This window comes from Homo sapiens, chromosome 5 (assembly GCF_000001405.40).
Source record: "Homo sapiens chromosome 5, GRCh38.p14 Primary Assembly".
Classification (NCBI taxonomy): domain Eukaryota; kingdom Metazoa; phylum Chordata; class Mammalia; order Primates; family Hominidae; genus Homo; species Homo sapiens.
The window spans coordinates 169,123,728-169,144,835 of record NC_000005.10 but is presented as its reverse complement, the minus strand read 5'-3'; the positions used below and the strand labels follow the sequence as shown (position 1 = coordinate 169,144,835).

Here is a 21,108-nt window from a genome sequence, read left to right as displayed (position 1 = left end):
TTGCAGGGTAGGGCTTAGGACAAAGCCCGTCTTTTTCTGCCCAGGTTGCAGGACTTTGCGTCTTGCGGGTCTTGGGTTTTGAGGTCTTGGCCATTGGGCATTCTCCTGCCATAGAAGTCAGCCCGAAGGCCTGGACTGAGCTCAGTGGCCCAGGGCCTTGGGTGGTGGACATGGCTTCCCAAAGAGACCAGACCCTTCCTGAGGATTCACATGTTAGGGGCACTTTTTATTTCAGTGTCATTCTAAACACACCTTCCATCATTCACTTACTTGTCAAACATTTATTGAGAGCATCTAGACGCTGTGCTAGATACTTGGGATGAAATGGTGAGGATGACAAGCATGTTCCATGCCTTTAAGAGTTTATACTCAGGTGGGAGAGCCGGATGTTAATGAAGCAATAACCCAAATAAATAATTAGAAGCAGTGAAACATTTGCAAAAGGAAAAGTACAGAGACTATGGGAACGTAAAGCAGGGGCCATGACAGTAATGAGGAAAGATGGCCCCGACAAAGGGACTTGGGGGCCGAGATCGGGAGTGGAACTCAGCAAGGTAAACATGGGAGGGAAGGAGCATTCTGCTCCTAGGGAAGAACATGTACAAGGACCCCAAGACAGGAACGAGTGTGACCTTCAAAGAATGGAAAATAAAGGGCACAGAGCTGGGCGAGGTGAGTGTCACAAGACAATGGGAAGAAGCAGAGATACCATAATGGCCCTCATTTTTCCCATCCATAAAATAAAAATGGTATTCCCTTGTCTCATCTACACCATGGAGATTCTACTATGCACCTTGCTTTTCTCTTACAGTGGAGAGTCAAAGCTGGAATCATAGTCCTTAACTCACACTACTTACTGTTGGCAGCTGAGAGAATAGGACATTCTACTTTGATATTTCTGTATTTTCTCTCCACTTTTTGCCATGGAGCCATGTGACTCTGCCCATTGTGAGTGCTCTCTCACTTTCTCTCTCCCTGATATATATTAATGCATGCATCACACACACATGTGCATACATACTGTTTTTGTTGTTTTTTTTCGTTTTCTGGCTCTGTCACCCAGGCTGGAGTGCAATGGCACGATCTCGGCTCACTGCAGTTCCACCTCCCAGGTTCAAGTGATTCTCGGGCCTCAGCCTCCTGAGTAGATGGGATTACAGGCATGCACCACAATGCCCGACTAATTTTTTGTATTTTTTAGTAGAGACGGGTTTTCGCCATGTTGGCTGGGCTGGTCTTGAACTCCTGACCTCAGGTCATCCACCCACCTCGGCCTCCCGAAGTGCTGGGATTACAGGTATGAGCCACTGCACCCGGCCAATGCATACATACTATTTATGCAAACAAAGTTGAAATCATACTGCAGCAATGTAGTGTGAGGGTTAGGGCATCGACTTTGGTGTCAGATTGAGTTTATATCCTAGCTGTACTAACCTTTAGCCACATAACTTGATGATGGTATTTAACCTCTTTAAGAATCAGTTTCTACATCTTCAAAAGGAAGGTGAGACTGTCTATCTATTGGTGGTGTTTGGATTAAATGACATTCCATGGAATGCCCTTAGCAAACTGTAAATCCAGAATAAATAGTAACAACAATTACATTGTTATTACTGAATGGCATGGTACAGTATCTGGCACCTAGTAGGTGCTCAGTTAATGATGATATACTTGCTAAATGTTTCATAATCTGCTTTTCAGCTGAAGATAGTATTAATAAGGTTTATTTGGGTTAAAGTGGCAGAGACACAACTTACATTAAAAATAGGGACTTACTGGCTATTAGGATCCACCCTCCTTTCCTATCTGCTTCCTTTTGCATCTCAGCATCATTCTCCCTGGGGCAGATGGGCTCCCTTCACATAGCAAGAAAGGTGGCCTCTGGCAGCTCCAAAGATATATTCTTTTATTACTGACCAACCTGGAAAGAAACATTCTCTTCCAGCTCCAATTTGAACAATCTCCATCACAGATTATTGACTCAGCTTGGAGTACATGCCTATCACGTGGACCAATTACTGTGGCCAAGACCTGAGTTGGAGCTATTGACAGTCTCCACCTCATGGTTGGAGTGAGGAGTAGGTGTGGGGGTAGGAGCAGGTTTTCCCATAGAGGGTGGCAAAGTTTAGCAGAGACATGAACATTAGTGAAATCCCCCAGTTAGGGCTTATGTCCAGAGTGTAGCACAGGCTCACCCTATGGGTTCTGTTGACCCAGCTTGGCCAGCCATGCAAGTGCCAGGGGTGGCGCACCATAGTTTGACTTGGAACCTAGTCATTCCAGGAGTCCCAGTTTATACTCTCAGTCTTAGAGCTAATGAACTGCTTTGCTATTTCACTGTGTCTCTGGGCTGAATCCAGTGGGCAGTGACCCAACACCTGAGTGATTTGTGGGCCTGAAGGAAGACGAGAGAAGCTGATTATGGAGTCAGCAATTACTCTGCCCAAGTCCCTGCTTGGCAGGGCCTTATCTTTATTTATAGCTGGCTGAGCTACCCAGAGCCCTGTTTTTACCCTTGAGTGACTAGTGCACTGCAGTTTTAGTTCATAAAACACTGTTTGTTTATAATCCTTAACGGATTCTGTTTTATTAAAAGAGAAGGCTCCATCCAGAGTATAAATAAAGTTAACTGGTTAAGTTTTAGCTTCTATTCACAGTGAATGTGCAATGGATGGGAAATCACCGTGGAATTATGCACCCTCATGACCTGACTTTATTTATTTATTTATTTATTTATTTATTTATTTATTTATTTTTATTTTTATTTTTATTTTTATTTTTTTTTTGAGTAGGAGTCTCGCTCTGCCGCCCAGGCTGGAGTGCACTGGTGCGATCTTGGCTCACTGCAAGCTCTGCCTCCCAGGTTCACGCTATTCTCCTGCCTCAGCCTCCCGAGTAGCTGGGATTACAGGCATGCGCTACCACGCCCAGCTAATTTTTGTATTTTTAGTAGAGATGGGTTTTCACCATGTAGGTCAGGATGGTCTCGATCTCCTGACCTTGTGATCCATCTGCCTCGGCCTCTCAAAGTGCTGGGATTACAGGCATGAGCCACCGCTCTGGGCTGAGATGTTAACTTTTTTTTTTTTCTTTTTTTGAGACAGAGTCTCACTCTGCCACCCAGGCTGGAGTGCAATGGCGCGATCTCGGCTTACTGCAAGCTCCGCCTCCCGGGTTCAAGCCATTACCCTGCCTCAGCCTCCAGAGTAGCTGGGACTACAGGCACCCGCCACCACGCCTGGCTAATTTTTTGTATTTTTAGTAGACACAGGGTTTCACCGTGTTAGCCAGGATGGTCTCGATCTCCTGAACTCGTGATCTGCCCACCTTGGCCTCCCAAAGTACTGGGATTACAGGCATGAGCCACCACACCCAGCCTGACCTGACTTTATCAAAAAACAAAAAAAAAAACAAAACAAACAACAAAAAAAAATCTTACAGTCTCTGAGGTCTCAGGCCTGGACAAAACCTTTTCAAAGATGGGGAGGTGGCAAGGAAAGAGGCAGAATTAAGATCCTAAAATCAGCTTTGTTGCAGTGGATTTGCTTTAAGTTTCCTTTTGTTTTTGTTTATTTGTGGGGTGATGTCGTAGTCAGTATGTCTTTGTGTATAGTTCCATGATTTGGGGGTCATGTCGGGGTAGACCTAATTCTATTTCTATTCTATTTTGAGGGAGAAAGGATCCCCAAAGCAAAGGGAATAGTGAAATCTTCTTGGAACAGGTAGCATCGAGCTGAGTCTTGAAGGATAGGTCAGATTCTGATCAATATGGGAGCAAAAAGAAAGGAAAAAACGTAAGTTGAGTTTATCGCATTGTGAAAAGGAATTGTTTTGGATATGACAAGAGGATTAGTTTGCATAGGGCATGAAGATGACAAGATGGAGATTGGATTCAAGGGTAGGGTTCTACTGTAGGGTGATGGCCAGATTTAAAGAGTTTTATATTTAATTTAGAAGGCAGTGAGGAACCACTGAGGTTTTGAATGGGAGAGGGGTATGGTTGGTCTAAACTTTGGCCTGCATTATTCTTTTTTGAGAGAGGGTCTCTCACTCTGTGACCCACATTGGAATGCGACGGCGTGATCATGGCTCACTGCAGCCTAGACCTTCTGGACTCAAGAGATTCTCCCCTCAGCCTCCTGAGAGGTTGGGGCTACAGGCACACAGCCATGCCCAGCTACTTTTTTCTCTCTTTGTAGACACAGGGTCTCACTATGTAGTCCAGGCTGGTCTCAGACTCCTGGCCTCAAGTGATCCTCTGCCTCAGGCTCCCAAAGTTTAAGGATTACAGGTGGATGTGAGCCACCGTGCCTGACCGCCTGCGTCTTTTTTTTTTTTTTTTTTTTTTTTTTTTTGAGTTAGAGTTTCACTCTTGTTGCCCAGGCCAGAGTGCAATGGCGCAATCTCTGCTCACTGCAACCTCCGCCTCCCAGGTACAAGCAATTCTGCTGTCTCAGCCTCCGAGTAGCTGGGACTACAGGCACACACCACCATGCCTGGCTTTTTTTTTTTTTTTTTTTTTTTTTTGCATTTTTAGTAGAGGCGGGGTTTTACCATGTTGGCCAGGCTGGTCTCGAAATCCTGACCTCGTGATCTGCCCACTTTGGTCTCCCAAAGTGCTGGGATTACAGGCGTGAGCCACCGCACCTGGCCCCGGAGCTCTTTGTGAGCACACCTTCGCCCCATCTCCAGCTGCCTGTGCCACTTGCCCACCGTCAGGACTTTATTTTAGTATTCCCTGGACTCTTGCTCCCCAGTCAGCCTTGGTTCTAGGGCCCTGCAGAGATTCCTCCACCAGGAAGAAGGACCCATTTCTGGCTGTGATGAAGGCCTTGGAGAGGTGGCAGCAGGCCAGCCCGCCCCTCCCTACTGAGGCATGTTAGCTGCACTTACAGTGTCTGAGCTGCGGTTAATATATCAATATTTGCTCGCGAGGGTATCTGGCACAGAACAGGTTCCTGGGATGCTGGCAGATAGATTGCTTTCTCTTGTAGCATTCTTCAGCGGCATTCTGTTTTGGCAGGGATGGAAGGGGTTACTAGCTGCTGGCAAGAGTGGAAAAGGAGTCCCCATTCTTCCCAGAAGTGCCTCAGTCTCACAATTTGGCCCTGTATGATATTGTCAGCACCTCGTGTTCCCTCCATCACTAACTATTTCCTGGTGTATTTTGCTCATTGCAGTTTTTCTGGAATTCTGTTCCTTATACCCATGTTTTGTTTTGATTGCTCAACTAGGAGCCCCTGGGGGGGTGGGCTAGTGCTGGAAGGAGTAGAGCTTAGTAGCTGAGTGTGGGGCTGGGATCAGATGGCCTGGGATGAATCCTGCTGTTGCTGGCTAGCTGTGTAACCCAGGCATGCTCCCTGACCTCTTGATATTTCAGAGGTCTGAGAAACTAGGATGATGATGATGCTGGAAGAGCTGTAAGGATTAGATAACATCACACATAAAAAGTAGTTTGCAAAAACTTGATGCGTAGTAAATTCTCAATAAATATTCCATTTTGTTAATCACCATTCTTCTCATTCAATAAATAGTGCTTCTTGGATCCTTTGGCCTACCCTAAGTTTCTTGAGGACAAGGACCAAACCTTGTATTTTTCTGTAGTTCTGTTTCTAAGAGCACAGTGCTAGGTACACAAGAAAGTCTTCCTTCAACTTTAGGGCTTTGAGAAAACAATCTTACCCCCAAGGCTGGTGCTCATGGCACTGGGCAGTAGTACCCAGGGAGAAATCACCAGTGACAGAGGACTTGTCTCCAGTCTTGAGACATGCTGGTGAAAAGTGAGGGAAGGAACTGTGATCTCTTCAGGAAGCTGAGAAAAGAGGGTCTGGGCCTGGAGAAGGTCTCCAAGAAAGGCTGGAGCAGTGGGGCTGGATGTGGACATCAGTTGTCCACTGCCATCAGTCATGAGCAACCTCTTAGGATAGTCCTGGAGCTTTCAAGTGATCACTTTAAGACTTCGAACAATTTCCCCATGATAATATCACTTAGGGCATTTTCATTGCGAAGCACTTGCTTGACTCGCAAGTCAGAGATTGTGGGATACCCAGAATGTGTTGCTGGATATGCCATGCAAGTGTGCCATGCGTGGGGGCATGAGATAGCACGAGTGGAACCACAGAGGGGAGAACACGCAAGGCTCGCAGTGCCATCGGACAAGCTCTATCCCAGACGTCAGGACAGAGCAGTTGCAACGTGGGAACTTAACATGTGCCAGGCTCTGACATAAGCATTTTCTGGACATTATCTCATTTAATCTTCCCAGCAGTTCTATAAGGCAGTTGTCTTAGATCACTTTCCCAGAGGCAGAACCTGAACCAGGGATTCTTGTGCAAGGGATTTGTGTAGGAAGTGCTCTAGGGGGGAAGGGGTTAAAGAAATGGGGGCAGCAGGAGAAGACAGGGGAGGAAGCCAGGCAGATATGTGGCTGCAGGAAAAGTCTAGCCTTAGCCTGACACCACAGGAGGACCCATGCGAATGGCACCACAGATCTGTTCTCACTTGAGGCAAGGGGGCAGGGCTTCCGCTCTTTTCCGTCCACCAGTCATTGGCTGTAGGTCACATCGCCCAGGACAGGGTGGGGTATAAGTCCCATGCGTTTACGGGAGAGCTCCCATATTGCAAGGGCTATATTGAGCTGTTAGCAGCCAAACTTCACAGCAGCCAGGGTCAAATGCACCAACACAGAAAAGGGGAATTGGGTGGTGTACCAACAGCATCTGCTGCTATTGCCCCATTTTCCAGATGAGAAAACTGAGGCCTAGAGTGTTTATGTAATTGGCCCACAGATGTGCTGAGCCAGGATCCAAACCCAGGCATCTATCTTGATAGTTTTTGGTTTTGCATGACTCCCTTCTCTGTTAAATCACATGTCCCACTCAGGGGCCAGGTGAGATCTAGTAAATGAGAGAGAGGTGAGACAAGGGCCCAGGAGTCCTGGAGATGAGGAAAAGGTCATAAAAGGAGCCCACAGGTCAAGACCAGACTCTAGGCTGCTGTGGTGTGACCAACTCATCTTGCTTTGTGAGGGACTGCGTGTTTGGCTCTGAAAGTCTCACATCGTGGGAACCCCATCAGTCCTTGGCAAATGGGGATAGTTGGTCACCCTAGGTTTCTGGGTGGGAGCAAGGCAAGGATGTGAGGGTCTCTGTGGCGCTATGTGGCACCGTATGAGGCAGTTTAAAGGTAATCACAGTTGTCATTCCCCAGGGCACCAAAGTCAGAGCCACCTAAGCAAGTGGCCATTTGGGGGATGTGGATGAAGGGACGTAAGCCAGGAAAAACCCCTGTCAGGAGGGTATCCTGGCCAGGAGCTGAGCAGAGAAGGTGGTCTAAGATCCAGGGTGGGCTAATGAGAGGAGAGATTTGCATTGATAGGAGAAGACGAGGGGAATAAGTTACCAGCCCCCTGAGGCCTCCTCAGGGATCTTGCCGGAAATAGATACCCTTCCCCTGCTTCCCGCTGTGAAGCAAACTGTTTCTCTCTCTCTCTCTCTCTCTGTGTGTGTGTGTGTGTGTGTGTGTGTGTGTATGTAGATAGAAAGAGAAGAGGGGGAGATTAATTGAGAGAGAGAAGGGGAGAATGAACATTGGAATCCAATGAGGAAATGTCCTTGTAAGTTCCTATCCCATCCGTAGAGTTGGGCGAGGTAAAGTAGGTTCCTGTGCTTTTGAAAGGCCTGATGGTCTGAATCTAAGGAGTCTTCCACAGAAGACCTGTCATGAGAAGCTGTCGGGAAGTCCAGATTTAAGAAGCTCATGCATAATCATGCTCGCCCCTTGGTGAAGCTTTCTGGGTAAGAGACAAAGAAACTGGCCAGGTGTGGTGGCTCACTCCTGTAATCCTAACATTTTGGGGGACCAAGGCAGGAGGATCACTTGAGTCCAGGAATTCAAGGCCAGCCTGGGCAAAATAGGGAGACCCCATCTCTATTTTTAAAAATTAACATATAAAAGAAACACATAGGGTGGCTAGGATCTAAAGTCCAGAGGCCTAAAAGCAGAAGTGGGTCCCAGATCCCCAGTCTTGCTCCTTGCGTTATAATGGTTCAACTCATACACACTCCCCACCCCCAAACACACACAACCTCCTCCTAGCCAGAAGAATACCCTGGCCCATTCTCCAATGGGAAAGCAAATCCAGGCCCATAATGAGGCATTGAGGCATTGGGCTTGTTTTTAGGCGTTGAAAGATGGGGCCAGAGGTCACCAAGTTTAACATCCATGATGGTCAGGTTAGCAGTTTCCACCATAGCCTTGTTGACATGTGATCCAGACTGACCCACGACGGGACTATTGTTTCCTGCCATTTCTGGAGCAAGGTTGGTCAAGGGACCGTTCACAGTCATAGGAGCGGTAACAGCAAAGTTCTGGCCACCACCTCCACCCTGTCCAGAATAGAGGAGCTGCTGTGCTTAGTGGCAGGAGTCCTTTGTGAGGGAGTGGCTGGGGCTCAGCTGTGTGGGTCTGTGGGAGATGTTGGGAAACACCTGCCCTTTAATGGGCAGGGTAGCAGGCACTTCAAAAAGGCAATGCCCTGACTCCCTTTTATTTGAGTCTTTAGAATCACCACTGCTGTTTCAGTCTCGTAGTTCATGCTACTTTTTCTTAAGTTTCCCATGTTGACGGAAACTACCCACGATTTCTGAGGCCTGATCTGGAGAGGCGATTGTCCCCCTCCCCTCAAGCTGGCTTCTGACTGTGATGTCCAGTCTAGCTCCTATTTGGTAGGAAAAGAGAGAAACAACTTTATTTCTAGTTCTCCCCTTCTGGTTTTCTGACCTATTTCCTTATGTTCAAGAGACTGTCCCAGGAGGGAGCAGGGTTGGAAAAGAAAGGAGTTTGTGTATCCGTGTCCGTGATATAGAGAAGTGATCTGTAATGTGAGGGGTGGTAGAGACAGGACGAGATGGTGACACTTTCTTCTGTGTACCAAGGCTGTGGCCTAAAGTTTCTTCTCAGGTTCCTTGGGGCAAAGTGATTCTATCCTACTTAGAAAAACCTTCCTGGCCTGCCATTGGTGGTGAAGGGGTTGTGGGGAGAAGGATCTTAGAAGGACAAGGCTGGAAGCAAGTTTAGAGCTCATGGAGATTGCCTAGTTCTGTCATTTTCCAGCTTCCAGTATTTTGCGACTTCCTGATGTTTTTTGTGTGCATCCCACAGAAAGAGATATGTATAATTTATATCATGACTCAGGAAACAGAAGCATATATAAATATTGGAAGAAGAGTGTCATGAAACAATACTTGTCCTCACTACCACTGATAAAAGGCATGACTGATGGTGAGGGTAAGTATTGTTTCTGTGTTCCTGCTAGTTTCTGTGCTATTTCATGTTTTGAAAGTATTTGTGCTAACAGCTGCTAAATTGGTCTTATGAACCCAGGAAAAGAGAACAACTCATGGATTAAAAAAAAACACTGATCTGCCGGGTGTGGTGGCTCACGTATGTAATCCCAGCACTTTGGGAGGCCGAGGCAGGCAGATCACCTGAGGGCAGGAGTTCAAGACCAGCCTGGCCAACATGCTGAAACCCCATCTCTACTAAAGATACAAAAATTAGCCAGGCATGGTGGCGGGCACCTGTAATCCCATCCCATTGACTCAGGAGGCTGAGACAGGAGAATTGCTTGAATTCAGGAGGTGGAGATTGCAATGAGCTGAGATTGTATCACTGGACTCCCACCCTGGGCAACAGAGTGAGACTCCGTCTCCAAAAAACAAACAAACAAAACACACTGATCAAGTCCACCCTCTCATTTGTTAGAGGGGAAAACAGATGCGTGGTGAAGGGAAGTGATTTACCCAGTGTCACAACACATAGTCCATGTATATTTATAGAGCAGCTACTATATGTCAGAAACTGTTTGGACACTGGATATATAGTGGTGAGCAAGACAGCTGTGCTCTGCCCTGAAGATGCTTAGTCTTGTGGAGGAGGTAGGCCTTATGAAAATAAAACATAACAAAAACCTACATATAAAATTCTAGTCCAAGCTGCAATAAATGCCACGGAGGGGCCTAGCCAAGAGCTCTAGTGGACCAGCTGGGGCATGAAGGGTCAGGGCCTACTTTTTTTATTATTAGTATTATACTTTAAGTTCTAGGGTACATGTGCACAACGTGCAGGTTTGTTACATGGGTATACATGTGCCATGTTGGTTTGCTGCACCCATCAACTCGACATTTTCATTAGGTATTTCTCCTAATGCTATCCCTCCCCCAGCCCCCAGCCCTCCGACAGGCCCCAGTGTGTGATGTTCCCTGCCATCAGGGCCTACTTTTTATAGGGTGGTCAAGAAAGGTGTCCCTGAGGATGCACAGTTTAAGTTAAGTCCTATGGAAAAGAATGAGGCAGCTATGGGGGAGTGGGAGAAAGGGAGGACAGAAGGCAAAGGAGTAGGGGAGGAGTGTTTTGGGCAAAGGGAGCAGCAAGCATGAAGACCTTGGGTCCAAGAAGACTTGAACTTAAGCTGAAAGAAAGCCAGTCTGGCTGCAGCATGTGAGAGGGACAGAGGCCCCAGGTGGTTGCAAAGAGACCGAGGGGCCCACTCCTGTTAGACCTTATTGGACTTGATTCTAAGCTCAGTGAGTAGCCATTGAGAAGTCTTAAAGCAGGGACGTAACATGATCTAATTTATGACTTTAAAATATCCTGTTGGCTACCATGTTGAGAGAAGATTTGAGCAGATAAGCGTGGAATAGGGGAATCAGTTGCTTTTTATCTATAGTCTCTAGAGGAAGGCCAGTGGATCTGCCTTTGCAATGGCCCAAAGCTTTGCACATTTAGAAAACCTGCATTATTAATGAAACATTTGCATCTTAGGAAATGATAAAACAGGCTGCTACATGTAAAAATTAAGTAACTCAATTTGTTTTAACAGCTTGTGCTCTAGTACAGCAATTTGTTTGGCATATACACAAGACTCCATCGGAACAGTAATTATGCCATGCTAATTATTTTACTGCATTGTGTACATCTGACGTTTAATTATGGGAAAGTATGTGAGGGTAGATTTTCTTCCTCCCTTTGCCTGCCTGACAGGTAGTTTTGTTTCCCATACCTCTTTTGCACCTACATTGTCTTTATGCCAACTTGTCATCTGCAGTGAAATTGTGTTTCCATGACAGCTTTGCTCAGCCATGTTGCCTGCAAGTTGCAGACAATCACCAAAATAAACAGTTGACACAGATGTCATTCTCACCCTCTCATTCTGCCTCTCCCTCCCCCTTAATCTAGCTCCTACTATAAAGATTTTATTTTTCTCCCACCTCGAGAAGGAAAGTGATCCCTGACAACCTTGAGCATCCTTTGATACGTCAGCATGTCGCTCAGTGACTTCTCTTGTAACCAGTGCCCTTCTCCATGGAGACTGTTGGCAAGCCAATTCCCATGGCTCTATGCATAGATGACACAGCTCAACGGCTATGGGCTGTAGACCAGCAGGCTCTAGGCTTTACATTCATGGGGAGGTGGCAAAGGTGGGCTCTCACCACTCAAGATTCCAAGAAGTTGAACCACAGCTGTGGCATGTCCTTCACAGAGTGCATTGACAAACACTGTAAAGTGAAGCAGGCTTGTGCCTGGGCCGTGCCCACAGAGATAATGGGCTTGAGGGATGCAGGTGGGGAAAGGGAATGGAGAAAGAGGAAGTTCCTGCCTACAGGTAGAAATATAATATCTCGACTTGGATAAAAGAAGGAAAAGAAGGATAAGGTGCAGATCATAAACTACAGGCACCTCTTGCTAGCCATCATCACAGCTAATGCACCTGTAACCGCCTCCCCACACACAGGAAACAGTTGTCTATGTCTCTCTACTGAAGAGGTAGTTGCAAAGAGAAAAGACATTGTGAGAGTAGAATAGGAACAAAAGCAATGGCTTGAAAATAAAAATAATACCAAAAGTCATCTTTTCAAAAAAATAAATGCCTGGCAACAAGACTGTACACCTCAAAATATAGCAAATGCCCATTAAAATATTTGCACAACCCTGTTATGAGTATAAAATAAATGTCCAGAGGGATTACAGATCACGGGAATCTTCCCAGAGCTAGACAGGAGTCATTCTTTCTTCTTGGTGTGCACCGTATTTCCTTGTATACTTGGGGTTAGCCAAGAAATTTAGTGCATCTCAGGAAAATAGAATAGACATACAGACCTTCAGCTTGATACGGAACATGCTTTTTGAGAAGTCCTGGTTCCTGCTTAGTTCATGCAAACTTAGATTTGGATCATTCCAGCTTATGTTTTGCTATTTCAGATCTACTGAAACTGCAAACCCTCTGGCCCAGGAATTTGCATAAGTCAGCCTTTCCCTTGAGTGCCAGGCAAATCTCTGTTGGTTCACAAGATGATTTTTGGTGGCACGTGGACCATGTTTAAAAAAATTTTAATAGTTGTATGTTCATTTTAATATGTATCAAAATATGTCTAACTGGCACCTCAACCCTGTGTTTTAATGGATATAACACAGTTTCTTGTGTAAATACAGACTTGGCATGCCTTCTTTTTCCTCTCTTTCAGGCCCTTATTCCCTTTACAAACTTGCTGAGAACTTACTACTTTGAGGTTCCTGTCTTCTGGAATTTCACTTGGCTCTCTTCAGCCCTCTGTCATACCTCTCTATTTCTTCCTCCGCCTTTTCCCCCTTCCTTTTTCTTTACCCCGTTATCGTCCACAGGCATTCCTTAGAGCATAGTGTGTGCTGGACATGTGGGGTACTTCAAACAGGAATGTGTACAACTATAGTGGCTTAAAGAAACAGGACTCTGAGTCCTGAGGAAGGCAGAATAGAGCTGATGTGGCTCTTCTAGGATGGTGTGGAAGACCCAGGCTCCTTCTGTCTGCCTGGGCTACCATCTTTACCATGTGGCTTCATCTTTAGGTTTGCAAGACAGCTGCTACACAAAAGTGATACTTGTGAAGTGCCCTCTCTCTAGACTTTGTTTGATATTTAAGAAGCTAAACCCTTTCCTTCAGATCTCCAAGGCCAGTATTGCTTCACATGTTCTGCAAGGGAAGTACAGGGAGTTCATGCTTTTGCTTTACAGCCTCAATTGTAGAGGAAGGCAAGGAAGAATCGGGTTATGAATGGTTTAGGCATAGCTAAGCCACAGAGTCAGCCAAGGAGGAGGATAGTAAGAAGTACAGATAATGATCTCTGGCCTTCCTTTTCCAAGCTGAAAAAGTAGGTGTTAAAAGTTAACAGCTTTCTAAGTTGGTGCATGATCGTAAACCTGCAGAATCAGGAAAGAATTTAGAAGTCGTTTGGATGAGATTTATATTTTAAAAGATAAAGAAACTAATTCAGAGATAAAAGGGACTTAGGGCTCAGTGGGACAAGAGCCCTTCTCAGAAGACCCTGCTAATTTAGTGGTTCTCATCTGGAAGTAAGCATCAGAATAACCGGCAGTACTTGTTAGAATACCTATTGCTGGGTCCCACTCCCAGAGTTCAGAATTCAGTAGGTGGTCTGGCTGGGGCCTGAGAACCTGCATTTCTAGCAAGTTCCCAGATGATATTGATGCTGCTCCAGGTACTGCGCTCGGAGAACCACTGTGCTAACCTATTCCAAGCATGTAATTTACAATCAGTAATCCCCAAACAGATTTTCGTATGTTTTACTATTTTAACTTGTGCATTGTTGTGTGTTCGTTAACAGCTAAGTAATGTAGTTGCAGATAATTAATGCAGCCAATGGGTGAGCTAACTTAATCTTAGACCTGTCTATAGCTATGTTATTTGAAACCCAGAGGGTCTTTGCTCCTATGACCTGGCTGTGCCTCAAAGGGCACTCTGCCCTTTTCCGGAGATGACCACTACTGTGTATTTAGTGAACCTCTGTGGTCCATGTTTCTTGATTTTTTTTCACCACTTAAATACGTATCTATATGTGGCACATATTGCAACATTTTGTATATTTTCAAACATTATACATAAATAGTATACTCTATCATTCTGTAGCATGCATTTTTCATTCAACATTATGTTGAGCTCCTCATGCTGACACATGATCAGTCTAGTTTAACTAACTGCTTTGTAGTATTCCATATTCATATACTAGAATGTATTTTTCCTTCCCTCATGTTTCAGATTATTTTTAAGCAGATTAATGAGGCTTCGATATTATTATTAACAGCAACAATATATTGAAGTGGATGACATATTGAACTATTTCCATATATTTGCTCATGTAACAAATATTTATCAGGTGCCTACTTTGGGCTAGGCACTGTTTTAGGCAGGGAGGATACAGCAGTAAATGAACAACCTCACGACCCTGATGATGCTTATTCATATGACACCTGCAACAGCTCTGTCAACCAGGTGTTATTATTTTCATTTTTACATATGAGGAAATGGACATTCTGTGAATTTAAGTGACTTACCTGGGTCCCACCAAAGAGAACAAGGGAGTTTTGAATCAGATCATCTCACTGTTATCTCAGCTCTTTCTACAGTTCCACCAGGATGTCTGCTGAGCCTAATAACAAACACCATTCCTTATCTTCCTAATTTTCTTTGGAGGTCATGACTTTTGTTTAAATATGCTTTTTATTTTGGAATAATTTTAGATTTACAGAAAAGTTTTAGAGATAGTACAGAGAGTACTCCTAAACCTCTAGTCTGGTTTCCTTCATTAATAGCATCTTACATTACTATGGTACATTTGTCAAAACTAAGAAACTGGCTGGGCACGGTGGCTCATGCCTGTAATCCCAACACCTGGGGAGGCCGAGATGGGTGGATCATGAGGTCAGGAGTTCAAGACCAGCCTCGCCAAAATGGTGAAATCCTGTCTCCACTAAAAATACAAAAATTAGCCCGGCGCAGTTGTGGGCACCTGTAATCCCAGCTGCTCAGGTGGCTGAGGCAGGAGAATCGCTCGAACCCAGGAGGTGGAGGTTGCAGTGAGCCGAGATTGTGCCATTGCACTCCAGCCTGTGTGACAGAGCAAGACTTCATCTCAGGAAAAACAAACAAACAAACAAACAAACAAACAAACAAAAAAAACCACCAAAGAAACTGGCATTTGTATATTACTATTAACAGAACTCCAAACTATATTTTGGTGTCACTGGTTTTCCCATTAATATCCTCTTCTCTTTTCCAGGATTTACTCCGCAGTGCCATGTTGCATTCAGTTGTTATGTCTCCTCAGTCTCTTTACTGTGACAGTTTTTTCAGTTTTTTTCCTGGTTTTCATGACCTTGACCTTATTTTTAGTTTATCCCAAATGTCCAAATGAGGCAGTGTCAAGAATTTAGAGAACTTTTTTTTGGGGGGACTGAGTCTCGCTCTATTGCCCAGGCTGGAGTGCAATGGCGCAATCTCGTCTCACTGCAATCTCTGCCTCCCGGGTTCAAGAGATTCTCCTGCCTCAGCCTCCTGAGTGGCTGGTATTACAGGCGCCCACCACCACATCCGGCTTATTTTTGTATTTTTAGTAGAGACAGGGTTTCACCATGTTGGCCAGGCTGGTCTTGAACTCCTGACCTCAAATGATCCTCCCCACTTGGCCTCCCAAAGTGCTGGGATTACAGGCATGAGCCACCACACCCAGCCTAGAGAACTATCAATATAAGTATCTCTTAAGAGAGTTTGGATTTGATTGCCATTTCAGCACATTAGAGAGGGGCATCTTACTCACACGTGCTCTCCTGGTGCAAAAACACAGGGAAACAATGGAGTGACGCATGGCCTTTCGGGCCAGGTGCTTGCAGAGTATGGCAAATTGTAGGTTTCGATGAACAAGCAGCTTACCAAGGAATTATAACCCCCGCTCCCCTGCCGTGTCCAAGTCCAATTCCAAGTGTCTTATAACCACAGTTTGATGCTGCTGGCTCCTCCCCCAGCTCCACCTTTGCCTGTGAGTATATGTATCTTTCAAAAGTCATCTCTTATTTCCAGTAACTCCAAATACAAGCCGCCTTTTAGTGACAAGCAGATGAGCGTGAGCTGCAGTCGCCTGGAGTGTGCAATGCTGTCACCAGAGAGAACTTAGTAATTACATTTGCCAGGCTCACCGTCCATGTTGGCTGGCAACATGAAGGGATCAGAGAATTCTTTGAAACAATATCCAAGTTCTTGGTTAAAAGAGATACAGGCTGGGCGCGGTGGCTCACACCTGTAATCCCAACACTTTGGGAGGCCGAGACAGGTGGATCACTTGAGGTCTGGAGTTCAAACCAGCCTGGCCAAGATGGTGAAACCTCGTCTCTACTAAAAATACAAAAACATTAGCCAGGCGTGGTGTTGGGAGCCTGTAATCCCAACTACTCGGGAAGCTGAGGCAGGAGAATAGCTTGAACCCAGGAGGCGCAGGTTGTGGTGAGCCAAGATTGTGCCACTGCACTCCAGCCTGGGCAAAACAGGGTGTCTCCACCTTAAAAAAGATAAATAAATAAAGATATATAGCATTACACTACAGGATGGAAGAGCCCAGAAAAAGGATTCCTTCTTAGAAGCTACTGAAGAGCGAAGTGATTTCTTAGGGCAGTGTTTCAGACAAATTTAAAAAATTTATATATGCACACATATAAATTATATATATATATATAAATATATATATGTATATATATATAAATGTGTGTGTGTGTATATATATAATCCATGACCCGTGTCCCAAAGAAAATTATTGACATTTTGCCTATTTTCTTCTATTTATGCTTTTTAAAGAACATTATATAACATGCTTTTTAATATGCTTTCATTCAACATCATAAGCATTTTACCTGTTTCTTTTAAATAATTATTAAATAAATAACAGTTTTTCATTTAAATAATCTTTAGTTCACCTAATCATTCTATGGTACATTTGGTAAGTTTTTAATGCCTTGAGAAATAATTTTTAAAATAGGATGCTTCCCTCCTTATTTATTAGATTATTTCTGTAAGTTAGATTCCCAAAGTGGGATTACTGGGTCAAATGTTATAAACATTTTTAAGGCTTTTGAGCCATTTTGGGGTTGAGGAAAAACCCTTCTTGTTAGAGCTCTACAGAAGCCAAGTAATGATGCTAAATTTCCTAATTTGCCGTATGTCACTGTTTGCTCTCTGAACTTAAGTGAACTTTGACTTGGCCACAAAACTACAGTTCTGATTTAATTCATTCATTCACTCACACAGGTTTAGGTGTCAGGTACAGTGCCAGATGCTAAAGATAAGAGACCAAGCGAAACCAGAGCCCCTGCTCTCATGTCCAGAATAGCATCTGACCCAGAAAGACCCTGATTTGCTTGACAATAGAGTTAGATAAACCCATTTGAAAGCATCTATTTTTACCAGAGACTTGATGCTTGAATGCTGACTATCTTCTTCCGGTTTTGTTCTTCTAAGTTGCTCCGATTTTAGACAAAGATGACCACTCCACATTCTATTTGAAAACCATTCAACTTGAGTTCAGGGCACAAAACTAAAATATTTTGTCTGTGCCTGGGCAAACCATTTTGTGTGGAGCCTCATGGGCCTAGCAGCTGCTGCTTCCTTTTAGTAATTGGGAAGCACTGGGATTTCTGATAAATAATTGAAAGTGTACTCTGGCAAGTTGCTACAGCAGTTTTAAGGGCAGTGCCTATTTTACCATTCTCTGCATTGGAGAGTAAAGCCCTTGATTTTATGACTCGACTTTTCTGATTGTCCTCATTGGTACTCTTAGCCTCATATAAAACATTTTCTTTTTCCTTTTTTTGTGATGATGACTGAGTGTGAGAGGTACCATCTTGAAATGGCTTCCTTGTAGGGATGGAAGAAGAAATTGTCTGATCAACAGGAGTAACTATCAGACCAACTCTCTGATGATGAAACCATGGTAAGTCATCTGGGGAATCTTTTGGATAAATTACTTGAGGCCTTGAAGTCAGTGCAGACTTTTCATTGTAATTATGTGGATCGTGAAGTCCTGATGACTCCCAGTGGATCTCAGTAAAGAGTGACTAATGGATCATGGGGTCATTTGGTTAAGTGGGAGAGAAAAATCTGGGCAACCAAGGATCAGGTTTGAAGTGATCCCCATCTGTGGCCTAACCTCTGGCAAATGCTGTCTCCTCCTGTCACCTCTGGGCTCTGACTCAGCAGGGCCTGCCTCTCCAGCCTGATTAGAAGAAAGATCCAGACAATTTGGCAGACTCGGGCATCTCCAGCATTGCCCCTTGCACCCTGGTGCCTCCACTGGTTAATGTTGTCGTGTCAAGGGAGCAGAGCCTGTGTCTGAGCAAAGCAGATGATGTAGTGCTTGTGAGAGGCAGTGCTCTGTGTCAACCATGATGTCATTTGAGAGGGCCACCCAGTCCAGGTCTAAGTTGTGCTTTTCATGATGTCACCACTAAAGTCCCTTGACTATGAATCAAAGACATTTCTCTTATGCTGACTTCTTTTGTTAATTGGTAGTAAGAGAGGAAAGAGGCTCTGAGGATTACAAAATATCTTACCCTTTAGCAACATCATGGTGTTGCCTGCGTGAGGTCTCACATCTCTCTCTGTCTCTCTTTCTCCTTTCCCTCTTCCTCTCTCTCTCCTGCTTTCCTTCTCTCTGTCTCTTCTTTATTTAAATACATTTGCTTTTTAAATTTTTCCAGAGCACTTGTCACTTCAGAACATAAATAGGATGTCTAAAATACATGATTTTTAAAATAAAAATTTATCAAAGGATCCTGCAAAGGAAGATAGTCCTACAAGGTCCTTTGATGTCTAACGATGTGCCATTGGAGAGCTAGAAGGCAGCAAAGCCCGACTTTCTAAGATAAATGTAGCATCTCTTGCAATAATTCCATGGGCCGCTTCTGTCTGTGGGTCTCAGTGCAAACCTGCCACCATGAGATGAGCTAAAAAGCAAGCTTGCAAAATGAAGTTCCTGAGGAGTGTGATCTCTAGGGCCCTAGTTGAGGTACTCTTACTACAGCCAGGCTGAAAGCATATTTCAGCTTGTAGCAAGCTGGTTTCGTCTCTACCTGAGGAAAGATAAAGAACTTTGCTCAGGAAATGTGAGCCCCTGTTCCCAGGCTTCATTCCTCTCAAGCTGATGGACAGGTATGGAAGGAATGCGTTCGTTGGCAGGAATTAGATAATGCCCAGGCACAAATGGCAGTCACGTTCTTTTCCTCCCTCTCTCTGCTTTGGGGGAAAAATGTGGTAGGAGGGGATGCTCTGCAGGGAGAGGGGTGCAGAACAAGCTGTCTCAGCTTCAGCCAGCTGCCGTTTGTCACTGGATTCTGACAATGGCATCTGGCTCCGTGAGTGTGGAAGCCAGGGACCTCCCTCACGGTGAAGGCCGAGTGACCAGTGGGAGTCAGGGTAAACCTTCACTGTGAGTCAGGAACAAGCTCCCCTGGATATATTTTCCCAAAGAAGGGCATTTCTCCACCTTTTTGTTAATAGGTTATATCTTCATCCTAACTACAAGACTTGGTGATTCCTTTGCTTTTGTTTCCAGCGAGAAGGCTTTCCATGGCATGCAGGTGGCTAAGACAGGAATTAAGAAACCTAATTGCGGCCGGGTGCAGTGATTCATGCCTATAATCCCAAGCACTTTGGGAGGCCAAGGCAGGTGGATCACCACGTCAGAAGATCGAGACCATCCTGGTCAACATGGTGAAACCCCATCTCTACTAAAAATACAAAAATTAGCTGGGCATGGTGGCGTGTGCCAGTAATCCAAGCTACTCAGGAGGCTGAGGCAAGAGAATCACTTGAACCAGGCAGTCGGAGGTTGCAGTGAGCCGAGATTGCGCCACTGCACTGTAGCCTGGCGACAGAGTGAAACTCCATCTCAAAAAACAAAAAACAAAAAACAAAAACAAAACAAAACAAAAAAATAAAAACAGAAAAACAAAAAATAAAAACAGAAAGAAAGAAACCTAGTTAGCCTGAAGTTCCAACCATAGGATTGGCCAAATGTGTAATAGGTCAAGAGAATGCTACATTTCTGTTACAAGGGGATGCTTGAAATATATGTTAGCTCATATGTGAAGAGGGCAGGATATAATAGGCTAAAAACAAAGGCCATGAAGTAGAAGGTACAGCACAATACCACATCGGTATTCTCCATATGTATTCATTTTAAAAAGAAGAATAGAAAGCATCACAACCAACATTTAAATAGGGATGATCTCTCGGTGATATTATTGGTAATTACTTTTCCTTTGAGGTTTCTCTGTTTTCCAACTTATTTCCTTGAAACGATAAACATTTAACTTCTTTCTTTAGATGGCTTTTAATCACTCTATTTCTCACAATCTTGACCTATATCCATATCTACATCTATACTTCTCTCTAGAGTTGCTGTGTAGAGCACTGCACCAGCACCTAGTTTAGAAGGGGTGAAGTGGTATCTGGAATCAATCCCTTCTTTGATCAGCTTGTTAAGTCATCCCTGACATGGGTCAGTGTCTGCCCAGAGGAAAGGGAGCTCTTTTCCAATTTTCCCCAAAGGAATGTCTTGTTCTAGTCCACACAGTGATACTGGATTTGCTCACAGCAACCCTGCTTGTCTATGTGTGTGTGTATGTGTATTTAAGGGGACTTCAAAAAGTTCATAGGAAGATGGAGTTAAAAGATACAAAATAAAGTTTATTTCCCAGTACAACTCCATCAAGGTCAAGATACTTTTGTAAGCAATGATACCTGCCATTCAGTCTATTCCTAAAGAACTGAGGGTCCTGGGAATTTAACCATATCAATGCCATCTTTTTTACATTAACTGAAGAAAAAAGGGGGCCCTTTACAGATTTTAAGACTAGGAAGTAAAAAGAAGTCAGAAGGAGCCAAATCAGGACTGTTAAGTGGATGCCTAATGATTTCCGTCTGAAACCCTTGAAAAATTGCCCTTGCTTGATGAGAGGAATGAGCAGGAGCATGGTTGTGGTGGAGAAGGGCTCTCTGGCGAAGCTTTCCTGGGTGTATTTCAGCTAAAACTTTGGCTAACTTTCTCATAACACTGCCATATTAAGCACACTTTATGGTTTTTTGGCCCCCTAGAACATCAGCAAGCAAATTGCCTGGAACATCCCAAAACACTGTCACCATGACTTTTGCTGTTGACCAGTCTGCCTTTGCTCTGACTGGACCCCTTCCACCTCTTGGTAGCCATTGCTTTGATTGTGCCTTGTCT

The 21,108-nt window shown here is 44.5% G+C and overlaps 1 protein-coding gene across 3 annotated transcripts in view, besides 2 other annotated features; it reads left to right on the top strand.

The window, feature by feature from the left end:
- SLIT3 (slit guidance ligand 3) overlaps window positions 1-21,108 on the top strand; it is a 639,400-nt gene that overhangs the window by 156,304 nt on the left and 461,988 nt on the right. The window lies entirely within an intron of this gene.
- Window positions 2,885-3,053: a silencer, noted in NCBI's record as "fragment chr5:168568788-168568956 (GRCh37/hg19 assembly coordinates)". NCBI's record gives its function as "represses an EF-1alpha promoter that drives an FKBP-Casp9 reporter gene in an ReSE screen in phorbol 12-myristate 13-acetate-treated (for megakaryocytic differentiation) K562 erythroleukemia cells {active_cell/tissue: K562(+PMA)}" and the evidence as "EXISTENCE:reporter gene assay evidence [ECO:0000049][PMID:32094911]".
- Window positions 16,995-17,496: an enhancer, noted in NCBI's record as "NANOG hESC enhancer chr5:168554345-168554846 (GRCh37/hg19 assembly coordinates)". NCBI's record gives its function as "activates a minimal SCP1, AML or CMV promoter by ChIP-STARR-seq in primed H9 embryonic stem cells {active_cell/tissue: H9 hESC(primed)}" and the evidence as "EXISTENCE:reporter gene assay evidence [ECO:0000049][PMID:30033119]".